This window comes from Homo sapiens, chromosome 18 (assembly GCF_000001405.40).
Source record: "Homo sapiens chromosome 18, GRCh38.p14 Primary Assembly".
NCBI classification, from domain to species: domain Eukaryota; kingdom Metazoa; phylum Chordata; class Mammalia; order Primates; family Hominidae; genus Homo; species Homo sapiens.
This window is the reverse complement of record NC_000018.10, coordinates 60,005,257-60,026,326: the sequence shown is the minus strand read 5'-3', so window position 1 is coordinate 60,026,326 and position 21,070 is coordinate 60,005,257. Positions and strand designations below refer to the sequence as shown.

At 38.6% G+C, this 21,070-nt stretch overlaps 3 pseudogenes; 2 read left to right on the top strand and 1 right to left on the bottom strand.

Moving 5' to 3' along the window:
• RNU6-567P (RNA, U6 small nuclear 567, pseudogene) lies at positions 7,596-7,702 on the bottom strand (annotated as a pseudogene).
• SINHCAFP2 (SINHCAF pseudogene 2) lies at positions 8,843-9,737 on the top strand (annotated as a pseudogene).
• A 5,325-nt stretch (positions 9,738-15,062) lies between these two features.
• Positions 15,063-16,542, top strand: ENTR1P1 (ENTR1 pseudogene 1; annotated as a pseudogene).
• Positions 16,543-21,070: the final 4,528 nt, after the last annotated feature.

Here is a 21,070-nt window from a genome sequence, read left to right as displayed (position 1 = left end):
TCTGCATTATGATTCTGTGCGGTAGATAGTAAATTTATATATAATAAGTTCAAATATTAAATAGATTCAGCAATAAGCAGGTTTGTCTCACAGAAGAGGCAGGATTCAAAAGCAGGTGCGTCAGAAGCCCAGGGGCATGTTCTTAGACAATACATATTTTTCCTTGTAAATTTCCTTTTTTCTGTTAGGTTAAGAATTTGTTTCATATACACAGAAAAATATGATAAATAGATTGACAGTGAGAGAAAGAGAGGGATGTTTTCTCTGTGAAGAAGTGCCCAATATCATTAGTTATTCTAAGAAAAATTAGAAAGAGCTCAAAAAACACAATAATAGTAGGGAGAAATAAACCATGGTAAATGGAAAATGTATCATTTTCCAAATGTGTGTTTATAAAATTTGTGACATATTGATACTTCTGTTATAATTCAACATTTAAAATAATAACAATGTTCATATAGCACAACTGTCTAAAACAGACAACCACCAATAAAATATCTATATCAACAAAAAAATGGTGGGAGGGATGTTCTATGTACTTTCTTGTTACAACTGACACATTTGGTTGAGGCTTCTATTTTTTTGCTTCCTTAACATTTCTTTTTACTTCTGTCTTTTTGGGTATCCTCCCTGATATTTGATGAGAAATCAGGAAATAAAAAAATAAGTTACTAAAAGCTCTAAATTTTTTAATTCAACCATTGTAAAATTCTTGTGTGAAATGATATGTTAAATAGCACCTAACAATGTTTAAGGAAAGGAGCTGTTGAAACACATCACATGCTTTTGATGGTACAAAGCATTAGGCCACCCATTAACATTTATTTAATTAGGTAGAAAGAAGGATAAAAAGTAGTGAAATGACAGTTTCCACAAAGTTTATCTTGAATCACTGCTTATTAAATCTTGTCATGATAAAGCTAGGTTCCTCAGTATGTCTGTTTAATAAGGTCAGCAATCCTCCCTGCATTATTCAGAAATCTATTTCAAAAATTCTGAGGATTGTTGACTTGTAATGGTGAAATTAGAAATATCTGTTATAGAAAATTACAAGTAGAGAATAGTGTTTATTCAGTTAATGTTGAAAACTATGTCATAGGTTACACTGATTTTTCTTCAATCTTTAAGGCCCTAAATGATCTCTCTCTGCCTTGTTCCCTTTCCTGACCATAATTTCCTTCTTTCTCTCTTGTTCTTTCTCCAGCCATACTGGTCTTTCAGCTTTTCCTAGAATACTCCAGGCATACTCAACAAATCCCTGCTTCCTGGAACAGTCTGTTCTAAAATTAGCCTAGTAAATTTCTTCACTTCCTTTGAGTCTTTGCTTAAAGATCATCTTCTCAATGAGGACCACAGTTGAACAATGCAGGGGTTAGGGGTGCCAACCTATGGAGCCAGAACTCCATGTATAACTTTTGGCTCCCAAAAAACTTAATTACTAATAGCCTACTGTTGACTGGGAGCCTTATCAATAGCGTAAACAGCCAATTAACACAATTTTTAATGTTAAATATATTAGAGACTATACTCATACAACAAACTATAGAAAAGAAAATATTATTAAGACAATCATAAGGAAGAAGAAATACATTCACAATACCATACTGCATTTATTGATGCCATAAATATGTTGCCTGTTTACAAGACGTGTCTGACGTTTCTCTGCATCTCAGCAGTGCTCCCAGAATCACTGGTGGCACTTTGTATGAGCCCCATGATGTTATTCAAGGTTTATGGTATTGCAATAAACACAATGTGCCAGAACCTTGAGACATCACTTTTTACTTCCATACACAATGTACTGGCGAGATTAACTGCTCACTCAGAGATGATTAGGGTCACACAGTTTTAAGCTGATACTCACAACACTTAAGCTCATGAAATAGCAACAGGAGGTGAATACAAAATTACTACAGTGGTACAGTATGTGCTACAGTTAATTTTATGCAGTTATGATTCCATCCTGCATCTTTACATTCATTTATATTTCTCTCTACTATGAATGGTGCCACATATGGTCTGTAAGTGTGTGCACTTTTTGATAAATGTTTACCTTTATAAGACTTGTGTATATTTTATGATAGTAAGTAATAGACTAATATCTACATATATTTTATGCAGTCATAACATAACTTTTTCCTAATTTTTTCAGTATTTCCAGGCTATGTGGTTCATCTGCAAGTTTTTTCAAATTGTCACAAATCTCCAAAAAACTTTCCAATATATTTATTGAAAAAAAAATTCACATGTAAGTGGACCCACACAGTTCAAACCTATGCTGTTCAAGGGCCAGCTGTGCTTACGCTGACCACCCTATGTGAAATCGTAAACTGCCTGCCCCAACCTGACCCATCCTACTTACTCTGATCTTTTCTCTTCTACAGCTTATCATTATTACTTATTACCCTCTAAAGTAACATGGATTTGACTTATAAATGTCATATAACTTATGATGTTTACTGTTTATTTCTGTACACATACACACCTACCCTGCCCTGGTTCCTCAGGCAGGGATCTTTTTGGTTCACTGTGGTTGTTGTTATTATTAATGGTAACAAATACATCTCAAGAGCAAAGAATAATATATAAAACATAGTAGATGCTCAATAAATTGTTGTTAAATTGAACTTTTTGAGCCTTGTGTTTTTCCACAGACTCTGGCTGTACTAATGTTACAATAAGTTTTTCAATCAGTGTATATATATATATATATATATATATATATATATATTTTTTTTTTTTTTCTTTTTGAGACAGTCTCATTCTGTTGCCAGGCTGGAGTTCAGTGGCGCGAACTCGGCTCACTGCAACCTCCACATCCTGGGTTCAAACAATTCACCTGCCTCAGCCTCCCGAGTAGCTGGGACTACAGGCACATGCCACCACGCCCGGCTAATTTTTGTATTTTTAGTAGAGATGGGGTTTCACCATGTTAGTCAGGTTGATCTCCATCTCCTGACCTCGTGATCCACCCGCCTCGGCCTCCAAAAGTGCTGGGATTACAGGCATGAGCCATCGCCCCTGGCCGCCTGTTTATTTTTCTACCTTTCTTTTACACTATGAAGTCCTCCAGAAGAAGGAACTATCTTTCATATCTCTGTATTCCCAAAACATGCCACAGAGAAGTCTCTAAGTAAATGTTTGCTGAAGGAAATAAACTCTTCAAGCAATTGAAAGTGAAGGAACCAACATTTACAGACTGAGAACCCACTCAGTAGCAGACTCACTTCTGTATTTTCCCTGTTAGTAGTCACGAGAGCCTTGCAAGGGGCTATGTTAGCTTTCACATTCAACCTGCCGGAACTGCTGAAAGGCAACTCCAAAGCATGTCTTCTTTCTGCTCCTTCTTGCTTCTTCTTCTTAAAACAGATTGCTTTCTACAACTCTGGATCATTTATAAACTCTTAGTCATACAAGAATAATCTCTTATAGCAAGGAGTTTTTAAGTGTCCTTGGATTGTATAAACAGGCAACAGAGAGTGGAAAGAAAGATTAATCATTTGAAGGAATAAAAAAAGAAAAGGAAGTACATTTAGATGATGGAATATTATTCAGTCCTAAAAGAATGAGCTATCAAGCTGTGGAAAGACATGGAAGGAACTTAAATGCCTATTACTAAGGAAAAGAAGCCAATCTGAAAAGGCAACACACACTGTATTATTCCAATGAGATGACAGTATGGAAAAGGCAAAACTGTGGAGACAGTAAAGAGATCAGTGATTGTCAGAGCCAGGCGCGGTGGCTCACACCTATAATCCCAGCACTTTGGGAGGCCGAGGCGGGCGGATTACCTGAGGTCGGGAGTTAGACCAGCCTGGCCAACATGGAGAAACCCTGTCTCTATTAAAAATACAAAATTAGCCGGGCATGGTGGCACATGTCTGTAATCCCAGCTACTAGGGAGGCTGAGGCAGGAGAATCACTTGAACCTGGGAGACAGAGGTTGCGGTGAGCCGAGATCATGCCATTGCACTCCAGCCCGGGCAACAAGAGCGAAACTCCGTCTTAAAAAAAAAAAAAAAAAAAAAAATCAGTGATTGTCAGGGTTTTTGGGAAAGGGAGGGATGAACAGGCAGAACACAGAGGATCTGTAGGAAGGGTAAATATTCTGTACGATACTACAATGGTGGATACACGTCTTTTTACATTTGTTCAAACCCATAGGATGTGAAACACCAAGAGGGAACCCTAATGTAAACTATGGACTTTGGGTGACAATGATGTGTCAGTGTAGGTTTGTGGATTGTTACAAGCGTACCACTCTGGTGGGGGATGTTGGTAATGGGGGAGGCTGTGCTTGTATGGGGACAAGGGATATGTGTGAAATCTCTGTACCTTCCTCTTGATTTTGCTGTGAACCTAAAAATGCTCTTAAAAAATAAAGTCTTTCTTTAAATAAGGAAAAGGAAAACATCACATCAAAGAGCTCTTGGGTTTTCAGAGGATAAGGACTCAAATTCAGAGAACACTGGCCAGCTTGCCATTTTACTTCTGTAGATTTTGCCTAATTGACTTTACCACTTCCTTCCTAAAATATCTATGTTGTTATAAATTCTCCAGGGACTGTAATTATCTACTAGTGAATGTGTCCTCTGTTCTGATTTACTTTCTAGAATTTCACAGCCACTGGGAAATTTTCACTCATTAAATGGCATATATAAATAGAAGATGCTAAATAATCATGACTAGCAAGAAGAGTATTCCTTCAGTTGGATATGAAGTGTTTGAAAGGGTATTTAGAATGTAATATAAATATCTGGTTTTATGTCACATAAGAGGTGGGCTGAAGGAAAAATCAGTTTGGGGTGGTATGAGACTGCTTCATAAATGCTTAAGGTAATTAAGGTGTGGCCATGGTGCTCTTTGCTGATGTCAATATAGACAGTTAAAATATGTTTATTTATTTGTGTTGTATTTAGTATTACTTTTGAACTCACTGTTATTTAATGTGGAATGAGTCTTTCTGCTATTAGCTACAAGTTGTTCCCGTAGGGCTAAAAAAAAAAACCATCAGAAATACCTACAGCATTTAAGATCGCTATTTACAAAAACTTTTTCACATGTCAAATTTCCTCTAACATTAAAAGTGTTTTGAATGCAACTGATTCCCTTAGATGCCCTTTAGTATTTTAACAAATTTCCCTTCTCAAGCTTTTTCTAGGAAGGGGGAGAGACAGAGAGAGAGAGAGAGAGAAAGAAAGGGGGAGAGAGAGAGGCAAAGTGAGAGACCCTGAAAAGTACTGTGTTTTCCCAAATAGGGCAAGTGCATTCTAAAGATGGGTTATATATCATTCCAAGAATGTCTTAAAGGCACACAGTAACTACTGCAGTAACATCTCCAGCCTGACCCTCTCCACTCTCGTTCTTCAAAAAGCAGACTGGACCAACTTAGTGAAGAAATAGGCAGAACCACTATTCTCCCACAGTCATTCCTTCTCATTACTTTAATTTAAAGCAGTGGTTCTCAAAGTGTTTTCCCCCAGAACAGCACATCAGCATCACATGGGAACTTATTAGAAATGCAAATTCCCCAGCTGCCCCACACCCACTGAATCAGAAACTCTGGGGCTGGAGCCCAGCAATCTGTTTAACAGGCCCAGTGGGAACTTTTAGGGCAAGCTAACATTTCAGAGTTGTTGATTTTATAGCAGCCATTTCAAACTTGGCTGCAAATTGGAGTCACTTAAGGAGCTTAAAAACTACAGCTGTCTGGGTCCTGCCCTCAGACACCATGTTGTACTGTAATTTGTCTGGGAAGTAGCCTGGTTTCAGGACTCAAAGCTCGCTAGGTAATTCCAATACACAGCAACATTCAAGGACAGAAACACTGCCTCAGACCTTATTTCACTCCACCCATGAAAATAATACTGTCTGGGAAAAGATGCCAGCTCAGTGGGCTGGAACCTAAGAGATACTTAGTAAAGGACACAAACCTCAGGTACCCTTCCTGAAGAGACCTTGGTTACATGTGAACTCAGATGCAGGTACCCGATTACCCAGAACTGTACTGAATCCCACAGTCTTCTCCTGAGTACCCAGATGTTCCATGCTGCACGCAGAGCTCAATCCTAAGGACATCACCTGTGCTAACAGCAGCAGTTAGGAGAGGATTTTCAGGAAATGATCAAATAAAACTTGATTTTTTTTTTTTTTTTTTTTTTTTTGAGAAGGAGTCTCGCTCTGTCGCCCAGCGATCTTGGCTCACTGCAAGCTCCGCCTCCCGGGTTCACGCCGTTCTCCTGCCTCAGCCTCCCGAGTAGCTGGGACTACAGGCACCCCGTCACCACGCCCGGCTAATTTGCTGGGATTACAGGCGTGAGCCACTGCGCCCGGCCAACTTGATTCTTATATTTCATGCTAATAGGGAGAGGACTGGTGGAAAATAATTAAACATGATTCTTATAGTTGATGCTACATTTGAGTTTTAGATTTGGGGGTAAAACTTTTTCTAACCAACGATACTGGCACCTTAGGATCTATTAATAACAAGTAAAAGTATAATTTAAGATACAAAACCTATGCTTCCTTCCATTCTGTAAAGCAGCCTTGGTTGGAACTTCCCTGCACTCCCATTTTCACTTTATTTTAGCACAAACAAGGCTGTCTTCCAGGTAATTGCTTCCAGTCTGTTGCTGCTGGTAGGTTACCGGCAAAGAATGCATTTTATGCATCTCTGCATCCGCAGGGCCCAGTGCTCAGAAGGCATTTCTTAATGCTTGTTGAATGAATCAGCGAATGAACTATGAAAGCTTCACACAATCTTCAAGACAGAATTTATATATTCCGTCAGCAACCACAAAATAAACAGATTTGTGTCTTTAGCATGACAAAAGCTGTAAAAAAAATAGTTTTTTACACAGAGGACTGAGACCCTTTTTCTTAATTTTCCCTTGTTCCCAACAAAATCTTTAGAAAACTAGAAGATTGAAATTTTTTAAAAAAAGAAGTTCTGACATTCTAGGAAAAGAGGAGTGGAAGGCATTCAAAACCCCTCAAAAAAAAAAATCCAGTAACAGGATAAACTATTTATCAGGAAAGAACGTCTCTGCAATGCATGTTTGTGCATGCAAATTTCTCATGTGTGTGAGAAATAGGGCAATGGTAAAATGTGTAAAAATAGAAATCTGTTTTGCAAATAATTAAAATCATTTAGCTACTTTCATAATAGTTTACTTAGGATTTATATTCTAAACACAATCTCTAAAAAGGGGGTCTACAAACTCTTTTTGTGAAGGGTCAAAAAGTAAATATTTAAAGCTTCATGAGTCATGTGGTCTCTGTTGCAACTACTCAGCTCTGCCTTCTGTAGCACAAAAAGCAGCCGTAGATTATATGCAAATGAATGGAAGTGACTGTGTTCCCATAAAATTTAATTTCTGCTCTCTAAATGTGGCTCAGATGTATTCCTTCCTTTTCTTCTCTGCTGTTGACACCTGTGGTCTTCACCGTCATTAGAGCTGTGAAATCCTGGCTTAGCCATCTCAGTCATTCATTTATTCAACAAATTCTTGTCCACCATCTGGGATGTGCCTAGGCATTGGGGTATGTCCTTGGGAATCTAGGAGAGAAGAAAGCTCTTCTGATGGTTTTGCAGTTTTTTTTTAGTAGAATGCTGCACAAGTGTGTGTCATCCTTGCACAGGGGCCATGCTAATCTCTGTATCATTCCAATTTGGGTATATATGTATTGCCAAAGCAAGCACCCTGCTGGAGTTTATAGTATGGGGGGGAGACAGACTACATATAAAATAACCATGTGTTAGAGCAGTGGTTCTAATGGAGTGAGGGATAGAGGTTCCCTCCTGGGGCCATTTGGCGATGTTTGGAGACAGTTTCAGTTGCCATATCTGGGGATGAGGTGCTTCTGGCATCCAGTGGGCAGAGTCCAGGGATGCTGCAAAACATCCCACAAGGCACAGGACAGACCACCAGAACACAGTTATATCCAGCCCAAAATGTCAGTGGTGCAGAGGGTTAGAAACTCTGAATTAGAACTAGTTTACAGTCCCACCAACAGTGTAAACTAGTTCAACCACTGTGGAAGTCAGTGTGGCGATTCCTCAGGGATCTAGAACCAGAAATACCATTTGACCCAGCCATCCCATTACTGGGTATATACCCAAAGGACTATAAATCATGCTGCTATAAAGACACATGCACACGTATGTTTATTGCAGCATTATTCACAATAGCAAAGACTTGGAACCAACCCAAATGTCCAACAATGGTAGACTGGATTAAGAAAATGTGGCACATATACACCATGGAATACTATGCAGCCATAAAAAATGATGAGTTCACGTCCTTTGTAGGGACATGGATGAAATTGGAAATCATCATTCTCAGTAAACTATCGCAAGAACAAAAAACGAAACACCGCATATTCTCACTCATAGGTGGGAATTGAACAATGAAAACACATGGACATAGGAAGGGGAACATCACACTCTGGGGACTGTTGTGGGGTGGGGGCAGCGGGGAGGGATAGCATTGGGAGATATACCTAATGCTAGATGACAAGTTAGTGGGTGCAGCGCACCAGCATGGCACATGTATACGTATGTAACTAACCTGCACATTGTGCACATGTACCCTAAAACTTAAAGTATAATAATAATAATAATAAAGAAACTCTGAATTAGAGATATGATCAACGCTCTAAGAATGGAAACAGGCAGGTGAGGGAGGCGGCGGCCAGCGACGCGGTTCACCTCCTGCTGTCCTCGCCCTCGCCCCGGCGAGCTGCCCCCGACGCGAGATGTCTTATTTACCAACAAATCCACCAGGGAGCATTCTTATTTGCTGGCTCGGCGTCTCTCTCAGCAGTCACCGGAGTGCCGGAGGGGGAAGCGCGATTTACGGAAGACTATTACCCAGAAGAAAAGATGTTTGTTTTTCACAAGCCAAAGATGTACCGAAGTATAGAGGGCTACTGTATTTGCAGAGCTAAGTCCTCCAGTTCTCGATTCACTGACAGTAAACGCTATGAAAAGGACTTCCAGAGCTGTTTTGGATTGCATGAGACTCGTTCAGGAGACATCTGCAATGCCTGTGTCCTGCTTGTGAAAAGATGGAAGAAGTTGCCAGCAGGATCAAAAAAAAAAACTGGAATCATGTGGTAGATGCAAGGGTTGGACCCAGTCTAAAGACTACATTGAAACCAAAGAAAGTGAAAACTCTATCTGGGAACAGGATAAAAAGCAACCAGATCAGTAAACTGCAGAAGGAATTTAAACGTCATAATTCTGATGCTCACAATACCACCTCAAGTGCCTCCCCAGCTCCATCTCCTCGTTACAGTAACCAGTCAGATGACGGCTCAGATACAGAGATGGCTTCTGGTTCTAACAGAACACCAGTTTTTTCCTTTTTAGATCTCACATACTGGAAAAGACAGAAGATATGTTGTGGGATCAACTATAAAGGCCGTTTTGGGGAAGTCCTCATTGACACACATCCCTTCAAGCCTTGCTGCAGCAATAAGAAAGCAGCTGCCGAGAAGCCAGAGGAGCAGGGGCCAGAGCCTCTGCCCATCTCCACTCAGGAGTGGTGACTGAGGTTTTTATGTAGAAGGGGAACAAAAAAAATCTGAATTTTGAAAAGACCACAAAGCAGCAAACTGACCCTCTTTTTTTTTTTTTTTTTTTTTTTTTTTGAGACGGAGTTTTGCTCTTGTTACCCAGGCAGGAGTGCAGTGGCGTGATCTTGGCTCACTGCAACTTCCGTCTCCCGGGTTCAAGTGATTCTCCTGCCTTAGCCTCCCAAGTAGCTGGGTTTATATGTGCCCGCCACCAGACCCGGCTAATATTTTAGTTTTAGTAGAGACGGGGTTTCACCACATTGGCCAGGCTGGTCTCAAATGACCCTCTTATTTTTAACTTGGATACCTGCTATTCTGCCAAAAGACAATTTCTACAGTAGTTTTGAATGGGTTGATATCCCCTAGTCCCACAAACTCTGAAGCCAGTGTCCAGCTTACTAAAAAAAGAGTGGTACATAATATTTAAGATGCTGAGTATTTCATAGGAAAGATGAATGCTGCTGTAAAGTACTCTTTAAGTCTTTTTTTTTTTTAATCCCCTTCTAATGAATGAAACTAGGGGAATTTCAGGGGACAGAGATGGGATTTGTTGTATGATAAACTGTATGTAGTTTTTAGTCTTTCTGTATTGAGATGCAGTGGTTGGGGCATTTTTAAGATGGCTGGCTACTTGTTTTCCCTCATGATAATAAATTTGTCATAACTCAGTAACATGAACTTGCCCCTAGAGGTAGTTGTTAATGATTTTGAAATATTAAGGTCTTGCCAAGCTTGTGATGATTCAAACCTGTACTACTGATTATTAAGCAGGACAGACTGAGCTTTCTGTTGCAAATACCTTGGAGGAGAAAGTAACTTCTAAATATACAGAGAGGTAACTTGACTATATATGTTGCATCCTGTGCCTCCCTTCATATTAATATTTGATAAAGATTTTAATTTTTGTAAAACTTCTAAAGCAGAATCAAAGCTCCTCTTGGGGAAATGGCAAGTCTTTAGGACAGGCGAGACCCTGTATGAATAGTACCAAAGCATTACCGCATGGTAGAGAACACACTCGATTAAAAATGTTAAGCTATCTGAAAAATAAAATGTACAAGTCCTCAGGATGGCACAAAACAAAGGTTAATGCTTCTTGGGGCACATTTCTTAGAGGGCTTGCTGAGTGTGTAAATATAATCGACTTTTGTTTGTGTTCTGTGACTTCATTGAAAATCTTTACAATTCAGTTTCAGCTCTGGATTACTTCAGTTGACCTTTGTGAAGGTTTTTATCTGTGTAGAATGGGTGTTTGACTTGTTTTAGCCTATTAAGTTTTTATTTTCTTTCACTCTGTATTAAAAGTAAAACTTACTAAAAGAAAAGAGGTTTGTGTTCACATTAAATGGTTTTGGTTTGGCTTCTTTTAGTCAGGCTTTCTGAACATTGAGATATCCTGAACTTAGAGCTCTTCAATCCTAAGATTTTCATGAAAAGCCTCTCACTTGAACCTAAACCAGAGTACTCTTACTGCCTCTTTTCTAAATGTTCAGGAAAAGCATCGCCAGTTCGGTCTTTTCAGAATGAGGGAGAAACATTTGCCTGCCTTGTAATAACAAGACTCAGTGCTCATTTTTTAAACTGCATTTTAAAAATTGGATAGTATAATAACAATAAGGAGTAAGCCACCTTTTATAGGCACCCTGTAGTTTTATAGTTCTTAATCTAAACATTTTATATTTCCTTCTTTTGGAAAAAACCTACATGCTACAAGCCACCATATGCACAGACTATACAGCGAGTTGAGTTGGCTTCTCCCACAGTCTTTGAGGCGAATTACAAAAGTCCAGCCATTATCATCCTCCTGAGTTATTTTGAAATGATTTTTTTGTACATTTTGGCTGCAGTATTGGTGGTAGAATATACTATAATATGGATCATCTCTACTTCTGTATTTATTTATTTATTACTAGACCTCAACCACAGTCTTCTTTTTCCCCTTCCACCTCTCTTTGCCTGTAGGATGTACTGTATGTAGTCATGCACTTTGTATTAATATATTAGAAATCTACAGATCTGTTTTGTACTTTTTATACTGTTGGATACTTATAATCAAAACTTTTACTAGGGTATTGAATAAATCTAGTCTTATTAGAAAATAAAAAAAAAGAAAGAAAGGAAACAGGGAGCTATGAGAGCACCTGATTTAGATCAAACTCTTCAGGAAGATGTCCTTGAGGAAATGATATGCAGGTGAGCCCTGGAGGGTAAACAGGATTTCATCAGGTAAGGGGGTACCCAGTGGGAAGGCAAATGTGAGGACTGTTTAAAAGATACTGATGCCTGTGCCCCACCCCAATCAATTCACTCAGAATCACCCAAATTCCATTGTTTTTTAAGTTTCTTGAATTAGAACAAATCGATAAGCTTTAAAAGCAAAAAGATTGATAATTTTTCTGAAGCATGATTCAAGGCTGATAGTAAGACTATATAGAAAAAAACACTTATGGTATAGGACAGAGAAAATAATTGAGAAGGGGGGGGGTGAAATCAAAACCACATATAGAGTATCACATTTATTGATCTGCATATGTTGCAATAGTTTTGAATCCCAGGGATAAATCCCATTTGACCATAGTGAATGATCTTTTTAATGTGCTATTGAATTCGCATTGCCAGTATTTTGTTGAGTATTTTTGCATCTATGTTCATCGGGGACTTTGGCCTGTAACTTTCTTTTCTTGTAGTGTCTGTGTCCAGTTTTAGTATCAGGGTAATGCTGGCCTCATAAAATGAATTTGAAAATATTCCTTTCTCTTCAATTTTTTTTGAAGAGTTTGAAAAGGATTAGCATTAGTACTTTTTTAAATGTTTGGTAGAATTCATCTGTGAAGCCAATCAGTCCTGAGCTTTTCTTTAATGGGAGACTTTTTTTTTTTTTTTTTTTTTTTTTTGAGACGGAGACTCGCTCTGTCGCCCAGGCTGGAGTGCAGTGGTGTGATCTCGGCTCACTGCAACCTCTGCCTCCCATGTTGACGCCATTCTCCTGCCTCAGCCTAATGGGAGACTTTTTCTTACTGATTGAATCTACTTATCTATTATTGGTCTATTCAGATTTTCTATTTCTTCATGATTCAGTCTTGGCAGGTTATATGTGTCTAGGAATTTACCCATTTCTTTTAAGTTATCCAATTTATTGGGGTATAATTGCTCATGGTAGTTTCTTGTGACCCTTTGTATTTCTTTTTTTTTTTTTTTTTTTTTTTTTTGGAGACAGAGTTTTGCTCTGTCACCCAGGCTGGACTGCAATGACACGATCTTGGCTCACTTCAACTTCCGCCTCCGCCTCCTGGGTTCAAGCGATTCTCCTGCCTCAGCCTCCTGAGTAGCTGGGATTACAGGTGCCTGCCACCACACCTGGCTAATTTTTGTAGTTTCCAGAAGAGACGGGGTTTCACCATGATGGCCAGGCTGGTCTCAAACTCCTGATCTCAGGTCATCCGCCTGCCTCGGCTTCCCGAAGGACCCTTTGTATTTCTGTGCTATCAGTTGTAATGTCTCCTCTTTTGTTTCTGATTTTATTAATAGAATGAAGAACAAAAATTATATGATCATCTCAGTAGATATAGAAAAAGAATTTGATGAAATTCAAATTCGTTTCATAATAAAAACTCTCAACAAATTCGGTAGAGAAGAAATGTACCACAACACAATAAAGTCCTTAAATGGCAAGTCCACGGCTAATATTTGTAACAGTGAAAAGTTTAAAGCATTTCCTCTAAGATCTAGAACAAGACAGGAATGCTTAATCTCACTACTTCTTTTCAACATTTTACTGGAAGTCCAAGCCTGTGCAATTTGGCAAGAAAAAGAAATGAAAAAACATCCAAATTGGAAGGAGGTAGTTAAATTGTCCCTGTTTACAGATGGCATGATCTTACATATAGAAAACCTTAAAGACTTTACCAAATAAAAACATTATAACTGACAAATTCAGTTAATTTGAAGAATACAAAATCAACATACAAAAATCGGTAGCATTTCAACACTAACAACAAACTATCTGAACAAGAAATTAATAAAACAATCTCATTAACAATAGCAAAAAAATAAAATAAAATACCTAGGTATAAATTTAACCATGGAAGTGAAGATCTATATATTGATAACTATAAAGCATTGATGAAAGGAACTGAAGAAAACAGAAGTAAATGGAAAGGCATGATTATGAATTGAAAGAATTAATACTGTTAGGATATCCATAATATCCAAAGCAATCTACAGATTCAGTGTAATCCCTGTCAAAATTCCAACGTCATTCTTTAAAGAAATAGAAAAAACAATCCTAAAATTTGTATGGAAACACAAAAGACCCTGAATAGCCAAACCTATCTTGACCAAAAAGAAAAAAGCTGGAGGCATCATAGTACCTAACTGCAAAATATATTACAAAGTTATAGTAATCAAAACAGCACAGTACTGCCATAAAAACAGACACAAAACCAGTCAAACAGGATAGAGTTCAGAAATAACCCCAAATATTTATGGAAAACTGAGTTTTAATAAAGGTGCCAAGAAGAGACAATGAGGAAAGGACAGCTTTTTCAATAAATGGTGTGGGGAAAATTGGATATCCAAATGTAGATGAATGAAATTGGATCCTTATTTTCACCATATACAAAAATCAACTCAAACTGGATTAAAGACAAATTAAGACCTGAAACCTAGTAGTTTCACTAAACTACTGAAACTTTATTTTAGTAGTTAAACTACTAAAAGAAAACATAAGGGAAAAGCTCCATGACATTGGTCTGGACAATATTTTGAATATAACCCCAAAAGTATATGCAACAAAAGCAAAAAGAGACAAATAGGACTGCATCACTCTAAAAAGCTCCTGCACAGCAAAGGAAACAAATAGCAGAGTGAAGAGACAATACATGGCATAGGAGAAAATATTTGCAAACCATACATCTGATAAGGGGTTACTATCCAAAACATATAATATGGTTTGGATGTTTGCTCCAAATCTCATGTTGAAATGTAATCCCTAGTAGTGGAGGTAGGGCCTGGTGGGAAGTGTTTGGATCATGAGGATGGATCCTCATGAATGGCTTAGTTCTATTCCCTTGGTAATGAGAGAGTTCTCACTCTAAGTTCAGGCAAGATCTGGTTGTTAAAAAGAGTATGGCACCTCCCCCCTTCTCTCTTGCTCCTACTGTCACCATGTGACATGCTGGCTTCCCATCACCTTCCACCAAGATTGTAAGCTCCCTGAGGCCCTCACCGGAAGGAGATGCCAACACCACGTTTTCCGTACAGCCCGCAGGACCATAAACCAATTAAACCTCTTATTTTTTTTTTTTTTAATAAATTACCTAGCCTCAGGTATTTCTTTAGAGTGATATAAGAATGGCCTAACACAACATATGAGGAACTAAACTCAATAGCAAAAAAACAAATAACCTGCTTTAAAAATGGGCAAAGGACCTGAATAGACATTGGTCAAAAGACTTACGAGAGGTTCGGAGGATCGGGGGCGGCCGAGCGGCGGGCGACGGGGGCGGTTGACACGGGCCGCGGCACGGGCAGAGCAGGGGCCATTGAGCCGCCGCTGCCGGGCTAGGCAGGTCCTGCCCCGCCTGCCCCGCCTGGCCCACGGCGATGTCGAGCTACCCGCGCCGCCGGGGCGTCACCCCGCTGTCCCGAGCCCGGAGCCTCGCCATTCCCGACGATTTGGGCTATGGAAAGGGGAAATGTTCTAAGCAGAGCCCGTCAGGAGCCCACGAGACACATTTTGGAGATGACAAATTTGAAGATCTTGAAGAGGCAAATCCATTCTCCTTTAAAGAGTTTCTGAAGACCAAGAACATCGGCCTGTCAAAAGAGGACCCGGTCAGCAGAATTTATGCAAAGGAAGCGTCGAGGCATTCACTGGGACTTGACCACAACTCCCCACTCTCCCAAACCGGGGGGTATGGCCTGGAGTATCGGCAGCCATTTTTCGAGGACCCGACAGGGGCCGGTGACCTCCTGGATGAGGAGGAGGATGAGGACACCGGATGGAGTGGGGCCTACCTGCCGTCCGCCATCCAGCAGACTCACCCGGAGAGGGTCCCTGCCTGCACGTCGCCCTGCAGCACATACCTTTCCTTTTTCTCCACCCCGTCAGAGCTGGCAGGGCCCGAGTCTCTGCTCCCGTGGGCGTTGAGTGACACTGATTCTCGCGTGTCTCCGGCCTCTCCGGCAGGGAGTCCTAGCACCGATTTTGCGGCTCAGGGAGAGTCTCTGGGAGACAGGCACCTGCGGACGCTGCAGATAAGTTACGAAGCACTGAAAGGTGAAAATTCTAAGCTGAGAAGAAAGCTGAATGAGATTCAGAGCTTCTCTGAAGCTCAAACAGAAATGGTGAGGACGCTTGTGCGGAAATTAGAAGCAAAAATGATCAACGAGGAAAGCGACTACCACGACTTGGAGTTGGTGGTTCAGCAGGTGGAGCAGAACCTGGAGCTGATGACCAAACGGGCTGTAAAGGCAGAAAACCATGTCGTGAAACTGAAACAGGAAATCAGTTTGCTGCAGGCGCAGGTCTCCAGCTTCCAGCGAGAGAATGAAGCCTTGCGGTGCGACCAGGGGGCCAGCCTGACAGTGGTGAAGCAGAACGCCGACGTGGCCTTGCAGAACCTCTGGGTGGTCATGAACAGCGCACAGGCTTCCATTAAGCAACTGGTTTCCAGAGCTGAGATACTGAATCTTGCTGCCGAAATCCTTAAATCTGTAGACAGAATTTCTGAAATTAAAGACGAGGAGGAAGACTCTAGAGGACCCCTGGGTGTTCTCAGCATGAAGCTCCGTGTATGCCCTGAGATCACCACTGCTTGATCTAAATGTGCAGTTGTGTCCTTAAATATGCAGCCTTCACCCAGAGTAAAGTGTTTATCCCAAGAGTCCAGTGTCGTGCCCTCAGCCAGTTCTTGGCCACCGCAATGGGAGCAGCCCTGGCCGAGTTGCCCCTGTGGTTTCTATGCAGCCCTTGTTGGCAAAATTCCTGCTATCTTATAGATTCTAATGAGCTCTTAGAAGACATCGTCATAAAAGCCAGCGATTTTAAGAAAAAAAAAAAAAAAGAAGAAGAAGACTTACAAACAGCTAACAGGTTCATGAATAAATGCTTGACATCACTAATCATTAAGAAAATGAAAATGGAAGCCACAATGCAATATTACCTTATACCTGTTAGAATGGCTATTATAAAAAAAAAAAAGATGAAAGATAAGCGTTGATAAGAATGTAAAGGAAAGGTAACTCTTGTGCACTGTTGGTGGGAATGTAAAACAGTACAGCCATTATGGAAAACAGTATGAAGATTCCTCAAAAAACTAAAAATAGAACTTCCATGTGACCCAGCAATCCCACTTCTCAATACATATCCAAAGGAAATAAAATCAATATGTTGAAGAGAAACCTCCACTTCCATGTTTATTGAATCGTTATTCACAATGGCCAAGACATGGAATAAACTTAAGCATTCACCAATGGATACATGTATTTTTTTAAACATGCCAGTGAAATACTAGCCAGCCTTTTTTTAAAAAAAAGAAAATTCTGTCATTTTCAACAACATGGATAAACTTGGAATACATTCTGCTAAGTGAAATAAGCCAGGCACAGGCACAAAAAGACAAACACCTCATGGTCTCAATTATATGTGGAAACTAAAAAAGTTGAACTTATAGAAGTAGACAGTAGCATTGTGGTAACTGGAGACTGATGGAGGGAGGGAGGGAGTGGAAAGATGTTGGTCAAAGAAAAAGTTTCAGTTAGACAAGAGGAATAAGTTTTTGCAATCTATTGCACAGCATAGTGACTATAGTTAATGCATTGTATATTTCAAAATTGCTAAGAGAGTACATTTCAAATATCTCACCACAAAAACAGATAAGTGAAGTAATGATATGTTAATTAGATTAATTTAATTATTCCACTTTGTATGCATATATCAAAATATCACATCACAATTTACCCCATAAATATATATACTTATTATTTGTGAATTAAAAATATTTTTAAAAAAGAATCACATATAGAGTTAAGGGGAGGCAAAAGGTAACTTTAGAATGGAGGAATGTGACACACACTACCTCTGCCAAGTGGTCACAGTCAACATGAACAGTGGTAAATTATGCCTAAATCATAATAGGTACCCTTGTTATGACACAAAAATAGCCCCTTTACCTCTGTGGTTTTCCTCCCCAAAACCCATAACCCCAGCGTAACAATGAGAAAAACATCAGACAAATCCCAATGGAGGGATATTCTACAAAATACTTGACCATAATCCTCAAAGCAGTCAAAGTCATCAAAAACAAAGAAAGTCTGAAAAACTGTCATAGCCAAGAGCAACCTAAAGAGATATGGTGACTAAGTGTAATGTGGGATCCTGGATGGCATCCAGGAACAATAAAAGAACATTAGGTTAAAACTAAGGAAATCTGAATAAAGGATGGACTTCCATTAATAATAATAATGTCAGTTCAGTATTAAAATATACTCAATATTGGAAAAATGTTGGTTCAGTGCTGGAATAAATATTGCTTCATGAATTGTGACAATTATATAATGTAATAGTAAGTTGTTCACAGCAGGAGAAATTCAGTGTGGGGCATATGAGTTCTTTTTACTATCTTGGCAATTTTTCTGTAAACATAAAACTGTTCTAAAAAATGAAGTTCATTTTTTAAAACAAGCAAATAAAATGACATATGGATGAATTCTCATACATTGCTGAAGAGAATGCAAAATATTATAGTCGCTTTGAAAAACAGTATGACCATTTCTTATAAAAATAAGCATACCATATGACCCAGCAATCCCATTTCTAAGCAGTCACCCAGGAGAAAAGAAGATTGAATATTCATGTAAAAACCTTTAAACAAATGTTGATTCATAATTGCCAAAACCTGGCAACATCCCAAATGTTTGCAACTGGTAAATAAACACACTGTGATACAGCCATACAATAAAATATTCCTCAGCAATAAAAAGGAACAAACTACTGATACATACGACCATATAAATGAAACTCAAATGAATTATAAGTGAAAGAAGCCAGATTCAAGAGGCTAATAGTGTATGATTTTACTTAGATGACATTCTAGAAAAGACAAAAATATAGGGACAGTAAACAGATGTTTGGGGCTAAGAATGAATCGTGTCCAAGAATTCCTGCATAATACAGCCTAAAAGCTCATCTTGGTTTCATCCTTCTCCTTAAATAGACAGCCATCCAGGCATTCAAATTGTCTTCATTTTGTCAGGCTTATCTTGCTCAGCTCCCTAAACAAACCTACTTTGGACAAGGTTACGTTTTTTATTACATTAGATAAATAATGCTCCAAAATTTTGTTCACATTATTCTCCATAATTGGACTAGCTCCTTCATTATTCCACACTTTTCAAAATTCTGCTAAAAATTGAAAATCCTGTCAAGCCACTATAGCATAAGTAATCATTCCTGTATAATTCTAGAATATTATTTGTCTGTATCCCATATTCTGCTATTAATTTTTATATAAACTCTCATATGAATAAATGATTTAGATGTTACCTCCTGACCCTCATTACCTACATTTGGTATTGCTAAAATTTCCATTTTATAGATAAGAAAACTGAAGCTCGGAGGTTAAGTTACTTTCAGAGATTATGGCTACTAAATAGAGAAGCTGGGAAATCTAGGAATGCTGAATCCAAAGGTTGTCTTCTTTTTGTTTCAGTTCACTATTTTTTCTTTGTATTGTTTTAAATTTGAATGTCTTAATAATTGCACAACTAAGCTTCTTGAGACTGGGAGCCCTTTTATCTCCTTCTTGGTATTCTGCAATGTACTAAATTAAAAAGACACTTCCAAAACAAATTGTCTTTAGGATATAAAATTATAGTGGGGCAAAAGAAAGAAATAAAAGGCATCCAAATAGGAAAAGAAGAAGTCAAATCATCTCTCTTTGCTGATGATACGATCCTATACCTACAAAACCCTAAAGACTCTAACAAAAGGCTCTTAGAACTGATAAATGACTTCAGTAAAGTTTCAGGACACAAAATCAATGCACAAATTCAGTGGCATTTCTATACACCAATCATGGTAATTCTGAGAGCCATATCAAGAAGGCAGTTCCATTTATAATTGCCACAGGAAATAAAATACCTAGGAATACATCTAACCAAGGAGGTGAAAGATCTCTACAATAAAAATTACAAAAGACTGCTGAAAGAAATCACCGATGACGCAAATAAATGGTGAAACATTTCATGCTCATGGAGTGGAAGAATCAATATAGTTAAAAATAGCCATACTGCCCAAAGCAATCTACAGATTTGATGTTATCCTTATCAAACTACAAATATGATATTTCAGAGAATTAGAAGAACTATTCTAAAATTCATATGGAACCAAAAAAGAGCTCAAATAGCCAAAGCAATCCTAAGCAAAAAAGAACAAAGCCAAAGGCATCACATTACCTAACTTGAAACTATACTACAAGGCTAGAGTAACCAAAACAGCATGGTACTAGTACAAAAACAAACACATAGACTAATAGAACAGAATAGAGAGCCCAGAAATAAAACTACACACCTACAACCATCTGATCTTCAACAAATTCAACAAAAATAAGCAAGGAGAAAAGGACTGTCTAGTCAATAAATGGTGCTGGGATAATTGGCTAGTCATACGCAGAATAATTAAAGTGGACCTCTGCCTATCTCCATATATAAAAATTAACACAACATGGATTAAAGATTTAAATCTAAGATGTAAAACTATAAAAATCCTAGAAGAAAACTGAGGAAATACCCTTCTGGACATCAGCCTTAGCAAAGAATTTATGACTAAGTCCTCAAAAGCAATTGCAACAAAAACAAAAATTTACAAGTAGAACCAAATTAAACTAAAAAGCTTCTGCAAAGCAAAAGAAATAATCACTAAAGTTAACAACCCACAGAATGGGAAAGAATCTTCACAATCTGTATATCCAACAAAGGACTAATATCCAAAATCTACAAAGAACTCAAACAAATGAGCAAGAAAAAAACAAGCAATCCCATCAAAAAGTGGGCTAAGCACATGAATAGACAATTCTCAAAAGAAGATACACAAATGGCCAACAAGCATATGGAAAAATGCTCAACATCACTAGTTATCAGGGGAATGCAAATCAAAACCACAACATGATAATACCTTACTCCTGCAAGAAAGGCCATAATATAATCAAAAAATCAAAAAAGAATAGATGTTGGCAAGATGTGGTGAAAAGGAAGCACTTCTACATTGCCAGTAGGAATGTAAACTAGTACAACCACTATGGAAAAGAGTGTGGAGATTCCTTAAAGAACTAAAAGTAAAACTACCATTTGATCCAGCAATCCCACTACTGGGTATCTACCCAGAGGAAAAGAAGTCATTATACGAAAAAGACATTTGCACATGTATGTTTATAGCAGCACAATTTGCAACTGCAAAAATATGGAACCAGCCCAAATGCCCATAAATTAA